General features: G+C 52.8%; 1 long non-coding RNA gene across 1 annotated transcript, besides 9 other annotated features; it reads right to left on the minus strand.

Moving 5' to 3' along the window:
- Positions 1 to 4,059: 4,059 nt before the first annotated feature.
- LOC124904887 (uncharacterized) lies at positions 4,060 to 5,108 on the minus strand. Its single transcript, XR_007067565.1, has 2 exons — positions 4,773 to 5,108; positions 4,060 to 4,415 (listed from the first exon to the last, which is right to left on the minus strand). It is a non-coding gene; the product is annotated as an uncharacterized LOC124904887 (long non-coding RNA).
- Positions 6,677 to 7,629: an enhancer, noted in NCBI's record as "H3K4me1 hESC enhancer chr20:31557307-31558259 (GRCh37/hg19 assembly coordinates)". NCBI's record gives its function as "activates a minimal SCP1, AML or CMV promoter by ChIP-STARR-seq in primed H9 embryonic stem cells {active_cell/tissue: H9 hESC(primed)}" and the evidence as "EXISTENCE:reporter gene assay evidence [ECO:0000049][PMID:30033119]".
- Positions 7,630 to 8,581: an enhancer, noted in NCBI's record as "H3K4me1 hESC enhancer chr20:31558260-31559211 (GRCh37/hg19 assembly coordinates)". NCBI's record gives its function as "activates a minimal SCP1, AML or CMV promoter by ChIP-STARR-seq in primed H9 embryonic stem cells {active_cell/tissue: H9 hESC(primed)}" and the evidence as "EXISTENCE:reporter gene assay evidence [ECO:0000049][PMID:30033119]".
- Positions 9,225 to 9,732: an enhancer, noted in NCBI's record as "H3K27ac-H3K4me1 hESC enhancer chr20:31559855-31560362 (GRCh37/hg19 assembly coordinates)". NCBI's record gives its function as "activates a minimal SCP1, AML or CMV promoter by ChIP-STARR-seq in primed H9 embryonic stem cells {active_cell/tissue: H9 hESC(primed)}" and the evidence as "EXISTENCE:reporter gene assay evidence [ECO:0000049][PMID:30033119]".
- Positions 9,733 to 10,241: an enhancer, noted in NCBI's record as "H3K27ac-H3K4me1 hESC enhancer chr20:31560363-31560871 (GRCh37/hg19 assembly coordinates)". NCBI's record gives its function as "activates a minimal SCP1, AML or CMV promoter by ChIP-STARR-seq in primed H9 embryonic stem cells {active_cell/tissue: H9 hESC(primed)}" and the evidence as "EXISTENCE:reporter gene assay evidence [ECO:0000049][PMID:30033119]".
- Positions 9,767 to 9,896: an enhancer, noted in NCBI's record as "active region_17725". NCBI's record gives its function as "activates an Ori minimal core promoter by ATAC-STARR-seq in GM12878 lymphoblastoid cells {active_cell/tissue: GM12878}" and the evidence as "EXISTENCE:reporter gene assay evidence [ECO:0000049][PMID:35858748]".
- Positions 13,288 to 18,240: an enhancer, noted in NCBI's record as "VISTA enhancer hs2101". NCBI's record gives its function as "enhancer in: neural tube[4/5] | hindbrain (rhombencephalon)[5/5] | midbrain (mesencephalon)[5/5] | dorsal root ganglion[4/5] | forebrain[4/5] | eye[4/5] | trigeminal V (ganglion, cranial)[5/5] | cranial nerve[4/5] | facial mesenchyme[4/5]" and the evidence as "EXISTENCE:transgenic organism evidence [ECO:0001131][PMID:17130149]".
- Positions 15,155 to 15,781: an enhancer, noted in NCBI's record as "H3K27ac-H3K4me1 hESC enhancer chr20:31565785-31566411 (GRCh37/hg19 assembly coordinates)". NCBI's record gives its function as "activates a minimal SCP1, AML or CMV promoter by ChIP-STARR-seq in naive and primed H9 embryonic stem cells {active_cell/tissue: H9 hESC(naive and primed)}" and the evidence as "EXISTENCE:reporter gene assay evidence [ECO:0000049][PMID:30033119]".
- Positions 16,726 to 17,226: an enhancer, noted in NCBI's record as "H3K4me1 hESC enhancer chr20:31567356-31567856 (GRCh37/hg19 assembly coordinates)". NCBI's record gives its function as "activates a minimal SCP1, AML or CMV promoter by ChIP-STARR-seq in naive and primed H9 embryonic stem cells {active_cell/tissue: H9 hESC(naive and primed)}" and the evidence as "EXISTENCE:reporter gene assay evidence [ECO:0000049][PMID:30033119]".
- Positions 17,227 to 17,727: an enhancer, noted in NCBI's record as "H3K4me1 hESC enhancer chr20:31567857-31568357 (GRCh37/hg19 assembly coordinates)". NCBI's record gives its function as "activates a minimal SCP1, AML or CMV promoter by ChIP-STARR-seq in naive H9 embryonic stem cells {active_cell/tissue: H9 hESC(naive)}" and the evidence as "EXISTENCE:reporter gene assay evidence [ECO:0000049][PMID:30033119]".

Here is a 19,384-nt window from a genome sequence, read left to right on the forward strand (position 1 = left end):
CTGCGCCCGGTCTGCTGGGAGTTTCTGCGTCACCTGTGCCTCCTTCCTGGGGTCACTGCATCCTCTCCTGTATGAAGAAATTATGATCTAAGCCCTCCCAGCTTGGTTCTTGCATTAAGGAGTCAGGGGCACGCAGGAGCCAGGCATTATTGAGGCCAAAGTCCATCTGCAGTCTGTATCCCAATACCATCTCTGTATCCGTTTCCTAGTGCTGCTGGAAAAAAAGTACCACACTTGATGTCTTAAAACAACAGAAACTAATTGTCTCAGCTCTGGAGGCTGGAGGTCAAGGTGTCAGCTTGGAAGAGGCTGCAGCTTACGTGTCAGTAGCTTCCCAGTAAACCCACCCAGCAGCCCTTGTTGATTTTCACTTTCACAACAAACACCTATTAAGTGCCTTCTAATCTAGAAAACTCTTCCTTATGGTGGAGCTGAAAAAGGCGTCCGTCTGGGGCTGAGGAGAGGCTGCTGTCTGGGCCACAGAGGATCATGGGATGTGTCCCCAGGAGGAGGTGCTGGGGATCAGACACCTTTGTGGTCGGGGTTGGGGGCACAGGTGATGGGGCCCTGCCCAGGCCACGCGGACCCCAAGCAGTGCCTCCCCTGACCTTCCCCTCATACCACCTCCCCTGGGAAGTGGCTTCTCATTTTAGAACCCTGCCTTTGTGTCCCAGGGCTTCTGGATGCCCCTGGAAGTTGGTAACAGAGCACCCCACACAGGGGCCTTCAAACAATAGACATTAATTTTTTCACAGTTCTGGAGGCCAGAAGCCCAAAATCAAGGTGTCAACAGGGCACCTTGAACCTGGTAGGGGAGGACCCTTCCTTGCCTCTTCCAGCTTCTGGTGTTTGCTGGTAATCCTTGCTTGGTGTTCCTTGGCTTAGAGATGCATTTCCCGCCCCGCTCCTCACTCTGCCTCCATTGTCACACGGGCATCTTCTTCATGGGTCTCCATGATGCCTCTTTTTTTTCTTTTCCTTTCTTTTCTTTTCTTTTCTTTCTTCCTTCCTTCCTTCCTTCTTTTCTCCTCCTTCTTCCATCTCCTCCTCCTCCTTTTTTCTACTTCTATCTTCTTTCTTCTTCTATCTTCTTTCGTCTTCTCCTTCTCCTTCTTTTCCTCCTCCTCCTCCTCTTCTTCTCCTTCCTCCTTCCTCCTTCCTCCTTTCTCCTTCTCCTTCTCCTTCTCCTTCTTCTTCTCCTTCTTCTTCTCCTTCTTCTCATTCCTCCTCTTCTTCTCCTTCTCCTTAGAGACAGGATCTCACTCTGTCACCAAGGCTGGAGTGCAGTGGTGTGATGATCATAGCTCACTGCAGCCTCAACTCCCCAGGCTCCAGCGAACCTCCCCGCCTCAGCTTCCCAGGTAGCTGAGACCACAGGTGCACACCACTACGCCTGGCTACTTTTCAGAATTTTTTGTAGAGGCCGAGTGCAGTGGCTCATGCCTGTAATCCCAGCACTTTGGGAGGCCGACACGGGAGGATTGCTTGAGGTCAGGAGCTTGAGACCAGCCTGGCCAACGTGGCGAAACCCCGTCTCTACTAAAAATACAAAAATTAGCCAGGCATGGTAGTGCATGCCTGTAATCCCAGCCACTTGGGAGGCTGAGACAGGAGAATTGCTTGAATCTGGGAGGTGGAGGTTGCAGTGAGCTGAAATTGTGCCACTGCACTCCAGCCTGGGCAACAGAGCAAGGCTGTGTCTCAGAAAAATAAAAAAATAAAAAATAAAACTTTTGTAGATACAAGATCTTGCTGTGTTGCCCAGGCTGGTCTCAAACTCCTGGGCTCAAGGGATCCTCCTGCCTCAGACTCCCAAAGTGCTGGGATTATAGGCATGAGCCACTGCACCCGACCACAGTGTCTTCTCATAAGGACACCAGGCATACAGGATTAAGGGCCCGCCCTACTCCAGTATAACTTCATCTTAACTGATGACTTCTGCAACAACCCTATTTCCAAATCAGGCCACATTCTGGGGTACTGGGCCTGAGGGCTTCAACGTATCCTTTGGAGGACACAGGTCAACCCATAACAGCCCCCGAGGTCGGGGAGCAGAAGAGAGTGTGGCTGCACTGAAGATTTTTCCCAGTTTCTTTTTCTTTTTTTTCTTTTTTTGAGATAGAGCCTCACTCTGTCGCCCAGGCTGGAGTGCAGTGGCGTGATCTTGGCTCACAGCAACCTCCGCCTCCTGGGTTCAAGCGATTCTGCTTCAGCCTCCCAAGTAACTGGGATTACAGGCATGCGGCACCATGCCCGGCTAATTTTGTATTTTTAGTAGATATGGGGTTTCACCATGTTGGCCAGGCTGGTCTTGAACCCCTGACCTCTGGTGATCCACCCACCTCATCCTCCCAAAGCGCTGGGATTACAGGTATGAGCCACCAGGCCCTGCCGATTTTCCCAGTTTCTAGAGCTTTCAGCTTTGTAGCTGACGCCCTCTTCTTAAATCCCAGCTGTTCTCCCAGCAAATTTCAGCTAGAGTCCCTCAAACCAATGATGAACTCTAAGTTACCTGCCACCTCCCCACTGACCCAGGGACCGGTGTTTCTGAGCCAGGCACGGAACAGGGGTGGCTGTGCTCGATTCCTCTCTTCCACCCTCACTGGATTTCCCTCGTTGACTTATCCGAGAAGGAGTGGGCTTGAACTCTCTTTCCCTTCTGCAAAAGGATGGAATTTCCAGCATTCCCTGTTTCTCAAAGTTGAAGGAAGTGAGAGACAACCTTTATTAGACACGTTCCAAGCATCAGGTCCTGAACCAGGTACTGAAACTGTATTTAATCCTCACATCATTCCACGAGGTGGGTGCTGATATGACCTCATTTTGCAGAGAAAGAGAGGTTCAGAGAGGTGAAATTGCTTGCCCACGATCACGCCAGGAAGTGGGGGAGTCAGCGTTTGAACGCTGCCAGGCTCAGCTGCTCTGAGTGCAACTGCTGGGCTGTCCCAGATAACTCAACCCCCACAAAGCTATGTCCATTGGCTTTGGGGCCTGTCCTGGGCTCTGGCCTTGCTCCCTTGGGAGGAAGGACCCCTGGTCCCTCCTGACTGTGCTGTCCTGGTGTCTGTCCAGTTTAGCCCAGCCTGCGAAGGGCTTGGTGACTTTGGCCACCACTTGAGGTGGGAGGGGAGTGTCCCTGCCAAAGGCTCATTGGCTGATGCCAGAAATCAGCTTCATTTACCCAAGGTACCCAGCTGATGCACCCAGTCCTGGTTGTCAGCACCTCAGGGTCCTGCCTCTCCAGCGCTGAGCCCTGGTGTAGTCTGTACAGGTTTGGAAAGTGAGTTGTGGGCCCGGGCAGGGGCGCAGCTGGGATTGGAAAGGAAAGGCAGGACAGGCAAGGCCTGGGGCAGCTGTGGGCTCTCTTGAGCGGGATAAGCGAGATGCTCCTCACCAGTCCAGACTCTATTTCCAAAACCCTCTCCTGCCCATCAGCTCACTTGAGCTGGACAACAGTTTTCTTAGGCATTTGCCCCATTTTACAGCAGGGCAAACTGAGGCTCAGCGAGGAGTAAGGTTTCACAGCTAGAAACTGGTAGAGCTAGGATTCGAACCCAGGGTTTTCTGAGCTAAAGCCCTCGATCCTTCCATTACATCCTGCTCTGCGCAGCATCTCAGGTGGAGAACTCAGGAAGTGGGGAGGTGTGTGGATAAGCTGGTGAAAAAGCCCAAGGCCAGGCCTAGGGCTGGTCCCTCCTCTGCCCAGAGGAAGGACACGGGGGAAGGACACTGGGGCTGGGGAGCAGGGAAGATGGGGGTGGTAGCAACCAGGCTTCGGGGGATTTTCTTAGAGGCTTCTGCATAACCCTGACCTGGAGGGTGGTTCAGGGTTTCCTTTAGAGACCCAAGATCCTGACATGGGGACACCTGGCTGGACACCATGGACCAGGACAGGCCAACCTGTCCCCAATCCCCTGACTCTGGGACTCTTCAAACCTCCCCTCAATGCACCCAGCCCCATTACAATAACATTCTGTGACCCACCCTTGAAGGGGTCAGTTGACCCTAATGTGTCTTTTCCCTGCCCGGTGCTGTTTGTGCCACGAGGACAAAACCAGGTTGGGCAAAGCAGAGTCAAACTTTATTCGTTGATCAAGGAATGGGGAAGGGGAGCTCATGTTCAAACCACCTTCTCCCTAAGGCATAGGGCAAAGGGGGATTTTAAGGGCTTTTAGGGCAGGTAGGTGGAGACTGGGCCAGGGATTCCTGGAGAAAGGTGGGTTCTTCCAGGAGGGGCTGGACCCTGCACAGTCTTGTCTTTTGCACCCAGCACTTTTTGTGCCTAGCAAGGTGCATTGCTCCCCCTGGGTGGAGATTTTCTCAGGGTAATGAGGCAAGAGTTCAGTCAAGGCCGCACTGCTCGGTTCAGCTCATCCTGTGGCTGGTTCGTGGTTATTGGCTTCCAGCCTTCACTTCTGCAAGCACAGCAGCAAGCACAGGTTAATTTCGCAGGTTGCGGGGCTTTTCTGAAAAAACTAAGATCATGCTGCAGTGACGCTTTCACTATGTTTCTCACACGATGTAGATCTGGTGAATTGTAGGCACTTAAAGAATTGTAAGGTCTGAGTCTCATCTCCTACTCTGACTTCAGCCAACCCTGGAGATTTGCCTCAGGTGCCACAGCCCACAGGCCATCCCTCCAGGCAGCAGGTGCCCAAGATGCAGCCGTCACAGGCCCCAGCATGACAGGCAGGGTTGAGCTCCACCAATAGCGAGTGAGCAGCCATGTCTGTCCCACTGCCCACACCCAGCCTCTCCCACCCAGGCCCTACCTGGGATGCCGGGTAGATCATTCCAGAACACCAGAGTCAGAAGGAGCTTAGAACCCAGATGGGGAAATGGAAGCCAACGTCCCCCAGGAGCCGGCATGAGGAAGCTGGATTGAGGCCCTGCTTCCTGGTCACCAGTCATCCTGGTGCGTCCTCGAGTGCCCATGCCCCTTCGCACCTGCTCTCTGCTTTTTGCACCAATGGCGTAAACCCCACTTGGATTTAGCTCTTTTCTGATTCTAAAAGTAGCACAGACTGAGTGTAGAAAATTAGAAAGACATAGAAAAGCATCAAAGTCAATAAAAACCACCTGAACTCCATCACCCAGCGATCATTTTGGTGCATTTTTCTTCTAGATTTCTTACCCCCGCCAAAAAAAAACCAGGGTTCATTTGCCTGGTGAGCCACAAACCACTCACTGTGAGAACTCGGGTTTTGATCAATAGGAGCTTCATTACTTGGCACAAGTAAGGAGGGTGCTGGGTGTATTCTCCAAAGCACGGTCTCCCTGAGGGAAAGTGACGGGGGGCTTTCTGGGTGATGGAGAGGGGAAGGGGTGCATCACAGCATACAGAGGAGGGGTCCCAGTTGCACAGATGCAGTGAGTCATCATGCGGCACATAGGTCTCATGTGCTGGTGATGAGGCTACAGCTCCTTCTGGGCGGGAGACTTCAGCATGGTTGTGAGAAAGTTCACTGGAGTTCATCCGTAAGTTGCCGGTGTCTGTGGGGTGCCCGTTTTAACCAACTAGGCGACTGCATCCCACATAGGGGTTTTTTTTGAGACGGAGTCTTGCTCTCGTCACCCAGGCTGGAGTGTGATGGCGTGATCTCGGCTCACCGCAACGTCTGCCTCCTGGGTTCAAGCGATTCTCCTGCCTCAGCCTCCTGAGTAGCTGGGACTACAGGTGTATGTCACCACGCCCGGCTAATTTTTGTATTTTTGGTAGAGATGGGGTTTCACCATGGTGGCCAGGCTGGTCTTGAACTCCTGACCTCAACAGATCCACCCGCCTCGGTCTCCCAAAGTGCTGGGATTATAGGCGTGAGCCACCGCACCCGGCCCCACATAGGGTTCAGGAGGAAATGGGCTGCAGAGTGGGAGGCTGTCCAACAGGCTGACTGCCAAGTTGATCATGAAATTTCTATCGTCCCTGGAACCCTCCCTGTCTGTGTACAGAGACTTTTCTGTTTTTATGTGAATGTGTGCACACACCCACATACACACCCAAGCATACCCTTACACTCACACATGCACACTCAGACTCACACTCATTCACTCACTTATATACTCACACACATGCACAACTCATAATCTCAAAATCGACGCTTCATACACATCATTCTTCATGTGATGAGTAAACGCCTCAATGCTGCAGTTCTTGGAGGCCTCGCCCACGATGGCTGCTCCTTGGGGGCTGAACCTTCTCCAGGATCTAGAGCTGCCACCCAGCTACTCTTTAAAGGAGCAGGAAGACACGCATGAGGGCATCCTGCCTGCCCCTAACAATGTACTGCTGCCACCAGACAAAGGAATGGACAGCCATCCCTCTGCGGTGGAGCAGAACTGTCTCCTCGGGCCCGGCTGGGCTGAGGGGTCGTGGCCACAGGCTGGCAGCCCAAGGACGGGGACATGGGACATGAGGGCACTGAGGAGAGTGTGGGGACAGCTTTGTCCTCAGAAAGAAGCCACCCTTGACCTCATTTTCTGGTGCCACTTCCAAATTTCACATGTGCTCTACTCTTGTTAAGCATCTACTGTGTGGGGGGCACTGGGGACACTAGAGTGAGGAAGACCCCCCCCTTTCCTGTTGGGACACGGATTATTCCTCTACAGCATGGATGCAGCTTCTTGTTAGCTTATCCAGCAGATTAGCTGTCCTGAATGCATACCCACTTCTCTGTGCCAGCCAGGCAAATCTCACGGGAGAGTGGGCAGACGTGGGAGAAGCAATCCAAGACGGCTTCCTGGAGGAGGGGGTCTATGAGCCCAGGGCCAATCAGGACCTTTGTGTTTGGAGAACAGGACCCTGTTCTCTGCCTGAGAAGGCCTTCCCCCAGATGGAATGCCTCTCCCTCAGGCTCTGCTTAGATATCCCCTCAAATACCCGGTCACCCCTGGCCTACTTTATCCTCTGATAAGCCCTGACTTTAGATAGGATCGGGCTAGGGGAGGGAAGGTGGCTCATGAAGGTGCCTGGGCACACAGAAAGTTCTCACCAGTTGCAGACAGTCCATGGGGTAGGTCGGCTAGAAGCCTGGCATTGCCTATCACCCACAGAAGGCAGTGGGAAGGCAGGGGGCGGCCGGCTGACTCAGCCTATGCCCTGTCTCACGGCAGCCTCCTGGCCACGCATGTCCAAATCCTGGTCTCCAAAAGCATCTGGGAGCCGCTGTCCTGCCTGGTGAGCCAGGGGGCCTTTGCAATTCCACTCATTCCTGTTGAGCCCAGAGAGGCTGAGCCATGGCCAGGGGTCATAGAGCACACTGGAGAGTGCCCGGCAGGCCACCATGACCAGGGACACACTCCTACTTTGCCACGGCTGGTGGTGCTGCCTGTGGGAAGAGAAATATCCCAGGACCCAGAAACTGCTCGAGGCACCCAGAGGCTGTGCTCAGTACCCCAGAATACTGCAAGGAAGGAGAAGAATACTGCAATGGGCTGAGCAGTGCCCATTATTCAGATGAGGAAACTGAGGCGCAGGAGGTGATGAGGATCAGGTGGTCTGGGGGCATGGATATTTTGGAAAGTAGGGAAACTGAGCAGACCCAGGGGCCCAGGGATGTAGGCAAAACTCTTGCTCACTCGCTCGGTTCTCAGGTGGGAAGAGAGCTGTGCTTTGTGTTGGTGGCCTGGCCTAGCACCCTACCCCCGTTTCCACAGAGTTCACAGCAACACTGCAGGTCAGGGCAATGGCCCAGAGATGGAATGGGACCAGGCAGGGGCCACACAACAAATCAATGGCAGGGCCGGGTCCAGGTCTCAGCCCCATCCTGGCTCCGCCATTCAGACCCCAGCCCTGTCTCCGGCCTCCTGAGCCCCTGGCTTGAGGCTGGGTTGGGGAGGCTTGGGCGTGGGATCCCTCTTCCACGGTGGGCTTGTCCTGGTCTGGGTGGGGCTAAAGTGCTGAGCTGCAGGGTCCAGGGGACACCAAGCCCCCTTTCCACCCTCTGGTTTTCTTGTCAGTCTTAGGGAAAGAGCTTAGGATCTGGGGCCAGCAAGCCTGGGTTCGAGTCCTGGTTGTGTGACCTCAGGTCAGAGACAGCTCCTTGCTAGCCTCATCTGCAAAACTGGGGTGACAGTACTGCCTGTCTCATGCCCGTTATGCCTGGGCATGCCGCCTGGCACACAGCAGCTGCTGGGGAAGGGCCGTGAGGTGGTTTCCCTTCCTCCCAGTGCCATGGGCAGCATGGGGTGGGTCAGGCTGCAGGCTCCAGCTACCCCTTTGAGGTGCTGTGGGAGCCCTATGAGGCCCTTCCCTCCCTGAACCTCTGTCTCCCTAGATGGGGTACCAGCAGGTGGGGGCCTCTGTGCTCAACCGTGAACCAACGTGGGCATGGGATGGGGGTGGGAGACAAGGTGGGAGGCCCAGAGCAGGAGGTGAGGGGCTGAGGGCTCAGCTGGGACAGGGAGGCAGCCACAGGGTCTTTGGAGTGCCCCCAGTGAGGCAGGAAAATAGGGTCTGAAGGCAGGGAACATAAGGCCAATTCCCACTTCAGCTAGGACAGGAAATATCCTCTCCGTGGGGTGTAGGCCAAGTAAATAACTTTGTAATTTTACTTCATCCTCTCTATTTACATAGGGTGTACCCCAAGTAACCAGTGGAATCCTCTGGAGGGTATTTAAACTCCCAAAAATTCTATAACGGGGCACTTGAGCCGCTACGCTCGGGCCTGCTCCCTCACTGTGGAGTGTACTTTGATTTTCAGTAAATCCCTTCACTCCTTCCTTGCTTTGTTTGTGTATTTTGTCCAATTCTTTGTTCAAGATTCCAAGAACCAGGACGCTCTCCACCATTAACGCCATCTCCCTGTCCTGTTCCACTTCCTGCCTCTCTTTCCCCCATCTCTGTGTCTCTAGCTGTGACTCTGTCTTCCTGTTTCTCCATCCATTCTCTTTCTGCTTCAGTCTCATTGCCTCCTGTCTTTGGCCTTGTGTTTTCTCCGTCTCCACTTCTCTGCTCTCTCAGGCACTGCTTCTCATCCTGATTCTCTCTCCTCTCAGGCATCCCAGAGTTCTAGTGTTATCGGCGCCCTGGGTCCTTGTAATCTGCCAGGATAGAAATCAAGAGCGATCACCAGACATAGCAGCAAAGAGAAAGAGCTTTATTTAGCTTGTGCACGAGGGAAGTCAGCAACATGAAAGGAAGAGGGCAGGCTGCTCCCCAGGGGAGTGTGTGGGTTAGATTTCTAGGGCCTTTCTATGGAGAGGGGTTTCAGGGTTCCTCCAGGGGAGTGTGTGGGTTAGATTTCCAGGGCCTTTCTATAGGGAAGGGTTTCCCCAGGGGAGCGTGGGGGTCAGATTTCCAGGGACTTTCTGTAGGGAAGGATTTTGCCAGGGCATGTATAGGAGGAGGGGTTTCTCTAGCACTTGCACAGTGGCTCAACACACTTTTTCAAACATTGCATGTAACATCAGCATTTTAAATCTCCGTGCTTGGGCACGATTTGCAGCATTAAAATGAGGAAGAGGGTAAGTTGAAGTTTAAGTCTAACTGCACATGCGGGGCCCCAGGGAAGTCCCTAGCCCCCTAGAGCAGGAACTCGTGGTGAATAGTTTCCTGGGTCTTTGGCTGCTGATTGGCTGGAAGTCAGGTGAGCTACAGTCTGATAAGGGGTTTTTGTACTTTTTCTCTAAACCACATCAAAACCAGGAAACCAGTCAGCCTGCCTGTCTCACGAGCCCCTATTTCCTGTTGTAGATGGTGACCAGCTTGTCCTGGTTTGCTTGGAACTGTCCTGGTTTTCAAATGTAAGGTTCCACATCCTGGGCACCCCCCAGTCCTGGGCAAACCAGAATGGCTGGCCAGACTGTTGCTGTGACTGGAGTGGGGCATACCCTGCCTGCTTTTTTCTGGGCCTTACCTGCTAAGTGGTGTCCAAGGAGAGGCCCTGGGGGTCTGGGTGTGGGATGGGCTGGTGACTCGTCCCTCTGTGCCCTTCCCACCCACTCTTGCCCTCAGTGCTGGTGCCCACCTGGCATCCCGGACACCATCCAGGGCACCCTGGCTGGATGGCCTGTCTTCATGGGCCATGGTGCAGGGCTCAGGCTAGAGATGAGTGGGGGATGGGGGCCCGAAGCCCCTGCTGTGCCTGATGTGCCTTCGGTATGTCCCGTCCCCAGGTGGCTCTGCACTTGATGTCAAGGAACACAGCCATTGCACCACAGCTTGGTCCTCTGACAGTGGCCCAGCCACGGCTCCGAGGATATGCGCCCTCCCTGGGCATTTCCAGGCCTTCCTGTTGGCTGTGTTCTTTGTCCTGATCAACGTCCCCCCGCAGATCCCTCCCTGCACGCAGGAGTTGGTGGTGAGGGACTGGCCCTGCGCTTCGGCTCCTAGATTCTCCATGCAGCAATCACAGCCCAACCACCAACTCCTCACTCATCAGGAGCTCACACTTGCTGCAACCTCAGGCTTCTAGACTTCGGCTGGGGCCATGGATCGTGGCCTCTGAGCTCCACAGGTCCTCATGCATGATGTAGGTGAGATGTGTTTTAAGTCCTCTCTTGGTGCCAATTTACTCAATATGTTCACAAGTTCTAACCACCTTGGATACGGGTTTTTCAAAGCTCAGAGCATATTAGGCCGGTGATGTAATATAACTGTTAAGGGCATGGACCCAGATGGCCTGAATCTGAATTCAAATTCTGTCCTGTATTAGACCCTTTTTTCTAAGCCTCAGTTTTCTCATCTATAAAATGGGTTCAATGATATTACCTACCCCATGAGATGTTGTGAGTATTCAATGAGATCATCACAGTGCCTGGCATGGAAAAATAGCAACTTTTTATTGAGTAGTTGTTTTATGCAAGGCAAGACTACATTTAACCCCCACACCCATGGGATTCAGAGAGGTCGGGTAATTGGTCTAAGGTCACACAGTTAGGAGGAAGCTACATCCCTAACCAGCAGGCTATCCTGCCTCTGCAGTAGTAATGACTAACATTTACGGAGCACTTGTTATGTACCAAGCACTATTCAAAAGGCTTGATATGTTCTAAAGATTTTACTTTTAATCCTCACAATTCTGAGAGGTAGGTACTAATATTATTCCAATCAGTTAGATAAGGAAACCGAGGCACGGGGAGGTAAAGTCTCTTGTCAAAGGGTCACATAGCTGGTTAGTGGTGAAACTGGGATTTGAACCCAGGAAGAAGCCTAGCTGCAGAGACAGTTTTTCTTTTTTCGTTTTTTTTAGGTGATGTTTTTAACCACACTGTTTTTTCTTTTAAAACAGCCTGTGTCTTTATCTTGATCCTCTGAGGGTACCTAATGCCCAAGAATTATGAGCTGTTATTATCATTATTATAGACAAGAAGCTGGAAGAAGGTGCAGGAGGCTTTGAGGGTAGGGGCATGCTGACAGCAGAGCATGGAAAACTAAGAGCAGAGCTCAGGTGCGTAGGCTGGACATGGTCCCACGGCTCAGCAGGTGAAGGGGTTAACAGCTCTTCTTCATGGCTGAAGGAGCTACGTCCTTTCTGGAAAGACTTCCATCAAGTTAGGGAGAACAAACAGAGCTGTGACACCATCAGAGTGGGCCCCTGAGGACAAGAAATTGACATGGGGGATGTAGCCATGAAGTGGTGACTGCCAACGTGCCTCTGATGTTTGCTGAGAACTTTGTGCCTCTTTCCATAGCCTCATGGCTGCAGTCCCATTTGAGCCTCAGAATGGTCCCTGTCAGGCAAAATGACTGCTCTGCTTTATAGATTAGAAAACTGAGGCTCAGATGGGAGCTGTGACTTGCTCAATGGCACACTGGCTCCTGTGCTGAGCTCCAACCCCAGGCTGGAATGCTCACACACCCAAAGGTGGGCACTGTGTGTCAGGCCTCTGAGCCCAAGCTAAGCCATCATATCCCCTGTGACTTGCACGTATACATCCAGATGGCCTGAAGTAACTGAGGAATCACAAAAGAAGTGAAAATGGCCTGTTCCTGCCTTAACTGATGACATTACCTTGTGAAATTCCTTCTCCTGGCTCATCCTGGCTCAAAAGCTCCCCCACTGAGTACCTTGTGACCTCACCCCTGCCAGCCAGAGAACAACCCCCTTTGACTGTAATTTTCCACTACCTACCCAAATCTTATAAACAGCTCCATCCCTATCTCCCTTCGCTGACTCTCTTTTCAGACTCAGCCCGCCTGCACCCAGGTGAAATAAACCGCCTTGTTGCTCACACAAAGCCTGTTTGGTGGTCTCTTCACATAGATGCGAGTGAAACTGTGATCCTGGTGTCACAGGCCTGGGGTGTATAGAGAAGTCAAACATGGCTTCCCGTGTAAACTGTTAGTGTAATGCGCAACCTTGTTTTTACTAACCCTATTTTTAGACTCTCCCTTTTCCTTTAATCACCCAGCCTTGTTTCCACCTGAATTGGCTCTCCCTTAGCTAAGAGAGCCAGACAGACTCCATCTTGGCTCTTTCACTGGCAGCGCCTTCCTCAAGGACTTAACTTGTGCAGGCTGACTCCCAGCACATTCAAGAATGCAATTAACTGATAAAATACTGTGGCAAGCAATATCCGCAGTTCCCAGGAATTCATCTGATTGATAACGCCCAAAAAGCCCTGCGTCTATCACCTTGTAATAATCTTAAAGCCTCTGCACCTGGAACTGTTTACTTTCCTGTAACCATTTATCCTTTTAACTTTTTTGCCTACTTTATTTCTGTAAAATTGTTTTAACTAGACCCCCCTCCCCTTTCTAAACCAAAGTATAAAAGAAAATCTAGCCCCTTCTTCGGGGCCGAGAGAATTTTGAGCATTAGCCGTCTCTTGGCCGCCGGCTAAATAAACGGACTCTTAATTCGTCTCAAAGTGTGGCATTTTCTCTAACTCTCTCAGGTACAATTCAGTATTGACGCCGAGACAGGGTTTGACTATCAGGGCCTGGCATGTTCAGTTTTCAGAGCTGCTGAATCTTTATCCCAGTGGTAGAATCACAGGAAGAAAAGGCCCATGGAGGCTTGCACTTATGCCCATTTCTACCATAGAGACGCTGGGTACCCTTAGGCAAGACCTTGCTCCTCTCTGGGCCTCTGTTTGCCACGTGGGCCTTGAATTAGATTAGCGTTTCTTAACATGAGGACTCATTTTCTCAACATGAGATGTCAGGATGGGGAGGACCCTAGAACGGGTAGTGTCTCAGGGTTGAGCTGATGCTCCACAGAACGTGGGCTCCAGACTTGAACTGACTGACTTGGGTTCAAATCCCAGCTTCTCTACTCACTCCTGGTGTGACCCTGAGGAAGCGTCTAAACCTCTTAGAGCCTCAGTTTCCACATTCATAAAATGGGATGAATGATTGGCAGCTTAATTCCCTGGTGGGGAGAAGACATGGGCTGGTGGCGGGGCCTCTGGGCTCTCACAGGGCTGAGGACAGCCACAGGTACCCCACAGTGCTTATCAAACTTGCCAGCAGTGACCTTGGGGCTAAAGCTGACTTGGGCACCCCCATGGTGCTGTTGGAGGAGGGCCCGTGGATGGTGGAGATGTGCACCCTTGTGGAGCTGCTGCTGTGTGGACCCAATGGTTCGCTGCCTCCTGCTGCTCGGACTCAAAGAGGTGAGTGCTGCATGAGGCACCCTCACCCTCCAGCTCCTCCCCTCACTGTCCCTGTGCCATAGGCCCTGCCGGACTCCTCCCCACTGAGGGGTGAGTGACTGAGAGCAGCACAGACAGGGACAGAGCTTCAGGCCAAAGGCACGTGATGGGAATGGAATGATCTCAGCAGCAGGCCCACAGGAGCTGCACTTCCAGGCAGAGATCACAGTTGTGGGGTGGAGGTGGAGGCCTGGGAGGGCCCTGAGGGGTGGGGCGACTCCTGGATGTCATCTGCACGGACCTTGGGGGACCGAACAAAGGATGACAAACGTGGGAATAAAGATAAAGACAAAAGAGTGTATTTGGAAGAAGGGGTCAGGGGGCTCCTTGCTTCTAGTGAACAAGGGCTCTTAGCTTTACAGCCCTTCGCATTTGATTGGGTAAAGGAGATAGGGAGAAGTGGGGGTGGTTGTCGATCAGGGGCTTAATTTACAGCAGGCTTGCAAGACTGCATTCTTCAAACAATAGGTTCTAGATGTCCCAGTAGATAACCTCAATGAGCACGGTGCCAGGGCCCTCAGCAAACCTTCTGGCAGTAGGCGCAGTCGTGAGTTTGCCCACATCCTGCATTCATGATAAACAGTTTGCTGTTTGATCATATAGCCAGTGGAATGCTGAGTTGGTCACGATTCCTTTGGCCTTTTCAGCTCCAAACACCTGGGAGCTCCTCTTTGCCTCACCCCCAATCCCCCTTGCAGGATCTCATCCTCAGAGCCATGTTTGTGGTTGATGGATGCAAACTCACTGTCTCTGTGGACATGAAGAGATGAGCAGAATGGCTGCAGGCACAACCCAGACTTCCTGGGGAGCAGAGGTTAGGCAGCTGGCAGGCTCCACAGTCACAGTTGCTCAGGAAGTCCTTTCTTATTGCTGTTGTTCCCAGGAGGCTGCCTCTCTTTCTGTCCCTCTTTCCCTGTGGATCCAGGGACTGGCTCCAAACCTAGCAGGGCCAGAGCTCACTCCCTCCTTGCTCCCATGGCGTCTGGTCACATTGATGGAAACGGAGGCTCAGAGAAGTTGAGACTTGCCCTCAGCCACACAGCAAGCGACCAGGGCTGAGTGCTGGATTCCTGTCCCAGGCTGTTCCAAGGCAGTCCCTCTTGGGGAGAGCCTCAGAGATGCCCTTTCTCTCTGCTGTGCCTCCCTCACCGGGTCCTCACCTTCCATGAGGAACGTTCCTGTAAGTGAGGCCAGGGCTTGGGGATTCGGGCACATTCTCTCTGAAGGATGAAGGGTTGCTGGTGGAGGGAGATCTGCTCTGATGCTTCCTCCCTCACCAGCCCAGGTGTCAGACCTCAGCCTATGAGCTCCCAAGCTCCAGTGTGACCTCCTGGTGCCCAGCACTGATGGTCAGCTCTGACCTGGACTTCCTGGTGGGGTTGTGGTCGATAGCACTGCCCTGCCTGCCTGAGCCCCACGGCCGACCTCTGAGCTAGCTCCACCGGCTTCAGGACCCCACACAGTGCCCAGCAGGCCACTCAGGCATCCACACCTGAATGGAAGGCGAGGCGTTGGTCTAGTCCTTCCTGCATGAACCAAGGCCCTGCGAGGGATAGGGACTGGTGAGTGGTCACATAGCTGGGAGGTGGTCGAGCTGAGGTGTCACTTACCCAGCTTCCCCCTGGCAGTGCCGGAGTGCTCATGTCCTGCAGCCCAGCAGCCTGCATGTGGCAGGGCTCTTGTGATCACCAGATCCTGTAGCGACCTCTGGTCTCGGGAAAGGGGGAATGAGCTAGCTTTGCCTGGTGTGGACACCGAAGGCAGAACCTGGACTCGGTGCCTCAGATACTGGCTGAGGGCCCCCAGCTCATGAGGGCGAGGGAGAGGTATTTGGAGGGTGATGAGAAGGGTGGTCAGTGTGGGTCTGATCTCAGTCTCTCTGAAGGCAGCTAGCTGGGAGTCCACTGGAGACATAGCCCAAAAGAGTGCAGCAGAAGGCTCTGATTCTTTTACGTAGATTAGCCTGATTTTGGCCTTCTACCCCATAATATAATTTAATATGGAAACACTCCTTAACAGCTGGGAGCAGTGGCTCACGCCTGTAATCCCAGCACTTTGGGAGGCTGAGGCAGGCAGATCACTTGAGGTCAGGAATTCCAGACCAGCCTGGCTAACATGGTGAAACCCTGTCTCCACTAAAAAATACAAAAATTAGCCAGGCGTGTTGGTGCATGCTTGTAATCCCAGCTACTTGGGAGGCTGAGGTGGGAGGATTGCTGGAACCCAGGAGGCAGAGGTTGCAGTGAGAAGAGATCACACCACTGCATCCAGCCTGGGCGACAGATTGAGGCTCCATCTAAAAAAAAGAAAGAAAGGAAACACTGCTTAAGTACTTACAGGTAAATTTCTTTACCTTGCTCTGCATGAGATTGCCACCCTGTGTCACTTCCCAACTTGCTGGCTTGGCCAGGGCATTCCTAGAATGTTTTGGGGGCCAGTGGGTATCATGGCTTGCCTGGACATGGTGGTGGGGATAGGTTCTAAGTCTTGATGACTTTATACTTTTTTTTTTTTCGAGATGGAGTCTCGCTCTGATACTCGGGCAGGAGTACCATGGCGTGATCTCAGCTCACTGCAACCTCTGCTTCTCGGGTTCAAGCGATTCTTCTGCCATAGCCTTTCGAGTAGCTGGGATTACAGGTGTGCACCAGCATGCCCAGCTAATTTTTTGTGTTTTTAGCAGAGACAGGGTTTTGCCATGTTGGCCAGGCTGGTCTCAAACTCTTGGCCTCAAGTGATCTGCCGGCCTCTGTCTCCCAAAGTGCTGGGATTACAGATACAAACCACTGTGCTGGCCGACTTTACACTTTCTAACTCTGGCCAAGATTAATAGGGTTGGTGTTTATTTATTTCTTTCTTTATTTCCCCCTCTCTCTCTGCCCAATGTCCTGGGTATCAGCTGGTGGGCACCATTGTGAGGCCGATAGAGTAGGAGGTGGTGTGCCCATTGTGTAGATGGGGAAACTGAGGCCCAGAGAGGGCCTTGGCTGGACTCCAGGGCTCCCACTTCTCAGCCCTTGCTTTTCTCCCTGTCCATTTATGGACGAGCCACCATGAGATTGTCACCCTGAGATTGTCTTGTCCAGGGAATGCTGCTGGTGTGCTTGTGACCCTGACCCTAGCCTCTGTGAGGACCCTCAAGGAGTGTCCCCTGGGGACTTGGGTGAGGGCAGGCTGTGTCAGCCCCCTGCCCATCCACAGCGGGCCTTATGCTGCAAATAAACGTCACTGTTTGCTCCAATTCCTAGAACCTGAACCTGTGCCGTCTCCTGTGCCGTCAAGAGCCCTCCTGTTCACTCACCCGACTTCTATTTATGGGGCAGCTCTTGCATGACAGGCTCTGTGCTAGGCTCTGGGGACCCCACTTATCACACAGCCGGCAAGAGCCTTTCACACTGGCATCCTGGGGGCCTTAGGCCACTTCTGGCAGGGAGAAGGTGAGGACAGGCATCTCCTGGTGCAGATGAGGAAAGTGAGGCTCAAAGACTGACTCCCTTGGGCACTCAGTGAAGGGGCACAGGCCAGGGGAAGGGCCTAGGCTCTGTCTCATCACTGGGCCCTTGCCACTGTCTGTCCAGGGGTCTCGTGCAGGGGTCTCTGAGTCTCATCACTGGGCCCTTGCCACTGTCTGTCCAGGGGTCTCTGAGTCTCATCACTGGGCCCTTGCCACTGTCTGTCCAGGGGTCTCTGAGTCTCATCACTGGGCCCTTGCCACCATCTGTATGGGGTCTCATCACTGAGGCTCTCGCCACCGTCTGCCCAGGGGTTTCTGAGTCTCAGAGAAGCAGCCTGCCCCAGCCATGCCTGGTCTGGCCTCCAGGGATTAGCGGATTAGCTAAAACCTCAGGGCTTGAACTGGGCGTAACGGAGGCGCCACTCTGGCGGCCCTGTGGGTGGTTGGCACTCTGCACCTCTGGTTCTTGTCTTGGTCGCCTTGGATCCCACCCTGGCTGGCAGCCGACTCCTCTGCTGCAGTCCAGTGGGTGGGCTGAGTGGCGGGCAGGCGGCCAGCCTTGTGCATTGTGGACCTGGACTGGGGGTGGGTGGGAGGGAGACTTTTGTTCTCCTGCTGCCCCAGAAACGAGCCCCTCCCCCTGCTGGGCTGAATCAAAGTCCTATTGTGGGACTTGGGTGAGACTGGGTCCCTCGCAGGGCCTCAGCCTCCTTGTCTACGCAGAGGGGCTATTCAACTGCACTGTGAACTGTAATGCTCCATCCAGGGACTGCTGACCTTGGAGGACAGGAGGGAGTGTGGGGAAGGGGTGGGTGGATAAAGGGTACCTGATCATCTGGTCAGGGGGCTGAGCTGCATGCAGTGGGGCTCCTCGGATGTAATGACAGAACTCCCATTCATTGAGCGCCTGTCCATTGTTTGTGCGACAGTCTCAGCCATCTGGGTTGGGGGAGGGGGTGGGCCACCATCTGCTCCCTTGGGCATCACTGTAAGAACCAGGGTTCAACCCTCTACTCACGGCTCCACGGAGTTGGCTCAGCCAAACTTACTGGGACCTGAATGGCTGTGGGAAGAGTTGAGGGGGGGAACCAAGCATTTTGGGGCCTGGCAGGTCTGGATTGGGGGTCAGAGCATCACTGTGACTCACTGTGTGACCTTGGGAAGCTGCCACATCTTTCTGTGCCTCGGTTTCCTCATGTCTAGGGGAATGTTCAGTCCCCATAGTCGGGTGGAGATGTGGTGACAGGTGTGACACACCGTGGATTATGTAGTGTTTGTGGACCGGGTGTCCCCCTGGGAGAATTACATGAACCCTCAGGAGGGTGGCATGGGGTTGGGGGCAAGTGCCACATGAGTGTCAGGCAGCAGGAGCTACCTCCACCACAGCCCTGACCACAGAGAATGTCACCAAGGGTAAGGATCCCATTCATCATAGTCCTAAAACTGGTAAAGTATCCAGGATTAAATCTCGCAAGAAAAGTGCAGAATTCATATGAAAAAAGCGAGGATACCTGACTGAAGGACGTTGAAGGAAAACCATAAGAAATGGGAGAAGAATCTATGTTTTGAGAAGAGCTGACATGGCCAAGAGATTTGTTCGTCATGCATAAAACCAGTGCCAATTCAGCAGCATTTTAAAAATGCAAGTTGACAAGCTGATTCTCAAGTTTGCCTGGAAAAGAAAGTGGATGAGAATGGCCAAGGAGGTTTTGAAACAGGAAGAAAGAGGGGGTGCTGGTACGTACCAAATATATTCCAAAGCTGGAGTCACAGAGCATGGTGGTCATGCAGGACGAGACAGGGCTCAGTGAAACAAAAAAGAGGCCAGGCACTGCATGGAGAGTGTTTCCAAGCTCTGGGAAAAGACGAACCATTCAATGATGATCCCATATTGTGGTCTTTGGGTAGTAATACACAAAAATTAAATTAGATTCCCTACCTCACACCATGCACAAAAATAAATTCCAGATGCATTAGGAGCTTTTATACATTTATATATTGTGTGGGTTTATGCACCAACAAGTGTATATATATTCATATATATGTATGTATAAAATGTGTGTATAATAAAATTAACAGAGGACCAGCCTGGCCAACATTGTGAAACCCCGTCTCTACCAAAAAGTACAAAAATTAGCTGAGTGTGGTGGTGGGCGCCTGTAGTCTCTGCTACTCAGGAGGCTGAGGCAGGAGAATTGCTTGAACCTGGGAGGTGGAGGTTGCAGTGAGCCGAGATCACACCACTGCACTCCAGCCTGGACGACAGAGTGAGACACTGTTTCCAAAAAAAAAAAAAAGATTAGCAGGAGAAAGTACAGGAGTATATGTCTATAA

Source organism: Homo sapiens, chromosome 20, assembly GCF_000001405.40.
Source record: "Homo sapiens chromosome 20, GRCh38.p14 Primary Assembly".
NCBI classification, from domain to species: domain Eukaryota; kingdom Metazoa; phylum Chordata; class Mammalia; order Primates; family Hominidae; genus Homo; species Homo sapiens.